Here is a 1558-nt window from a genome sequence, read left to right on the forward strand (position 1 = left end):
CTATTTTGACTGGCCCATGACATGAGGAAACAGATGAGGCGGCAGGGCAGATGTAGCCCTCTTAGATGACGAAGAATTCTAAATTCCCCCTCATTAATATAAATGAACAAATGAAGAAAATAGGCAAAGTAGGCAAAGTTTTTCTGTCCATTATGTTAGCAGCCTTTTCCAAAGTGAATCAATGTCCCAGGTCTGAGAACCTACATTTATACAGTGAAAATATTTGCACAATCAAAAATATAACAGTGGTATTTTTTGCTCTCCTATCCAAGGAGGATTTGATACCCAGATATTTCCCTTAACAAGAAGGGAAGGATGACTGTGCCTCTTTGTCTCAAAACGCAGGTTGAATGAAGCTGTGGAGAGTAAGATTGCAACATTCAGTGCAATCTCCATACATCCTCTGGACACATGGAATATGCCTAGCTGGTGTGCCATTTTAGTAGTGTCTTACTACATTTCTTCTTTCATTAATCTAAGTGTACTTTTTGTTTTCCACAGGAACTTTCTGGAAACCACAATTTTTCTCATCTAAGAAATGATAGATTTCTTTCATATCTTGCACTGCAGTCAGAATCAGCATTCCTTAAATAAATGGTCTCACATAGTCCCAATTCTATATGATGACATCATCCTTGTTCCCTACACATGAAAGTATGTGTTTTGTGATTTTTTTAAAGTCAGTATCTCCTATGAAGCTGTATAAACCACTAAAATCAGACTGGCAGAACTGAACTTTTTTTTTTTTCAGTCAGAGAAGGATCATGTAAATACAAACAAGATTCAGTTAGGGCAATAAAACTCCATCTCATTTTTTTGTAGGTCTGAAACAGCTGCTTTATTATGTGAGCCAAGAGAAGTTTGGGTGGCTCTACTCAGAGGAATTCTGTCCTAATTATCCTCAATCATCATGGATATCACCTGTTTTGACATCCTTGATTCAAAACTGGTCTTACTTCTTGATTAATTTTCTATTACAGAATTTGTGTTTGCATGAAGCACATCAATGATACATAAAGTGTATCTGAATGTTATTTTATATGTATCTTCTCTACTCTTTTTATTGTGTTAAATGACCACATTATTCCTTTGTAAAACCTATTACAATTATATCCAACTATAATAATGTAGTATAATATTATTAAAAGCAATCCCCCAAATGCAATACTACAGTAATGCTTTAACAAATTATTGTTTCTTCTCTCAAATTATATAAGATTTTCACTGACTAAAAAAAAGTGCCTCCATTTCCTTAATTACATATATATTTTCTCTTGCTTTCGTCTTTCAAAAGTCATAAAATTGAACTGAAAATATCATTATTTGGATTAGTAGCCTTGTAGAAAAATGCTTTACAATATTACAATTTGGATTAGTTGTTTTTGGGAAACTGAAATCCCACCAGTTCCAAAACTATTGCTTTCACTCCTGAGAAATAACTGAAAATAAAATGCTATTTTACAGTGCTATTAAAATTGGGTAGGAGTTGATATGAGAAGTGAAATCAGTCGTTTTTCAAAGAAGACCAGAAACAAACACAAGAAAATCTAAGAGTTTA

The sequence above is a fragment of the Homo sapiens genome, chromosome 21, assembly GCF_000001405.40.
Source record: "Homo sapiens chromosome 21, GRCh38.p14 Primary Assembly".
NCBI lineage: Eukaryota > Metazoa > Chordata > Mammalia > Primates > Hominidae > Homo > Homo sapiens.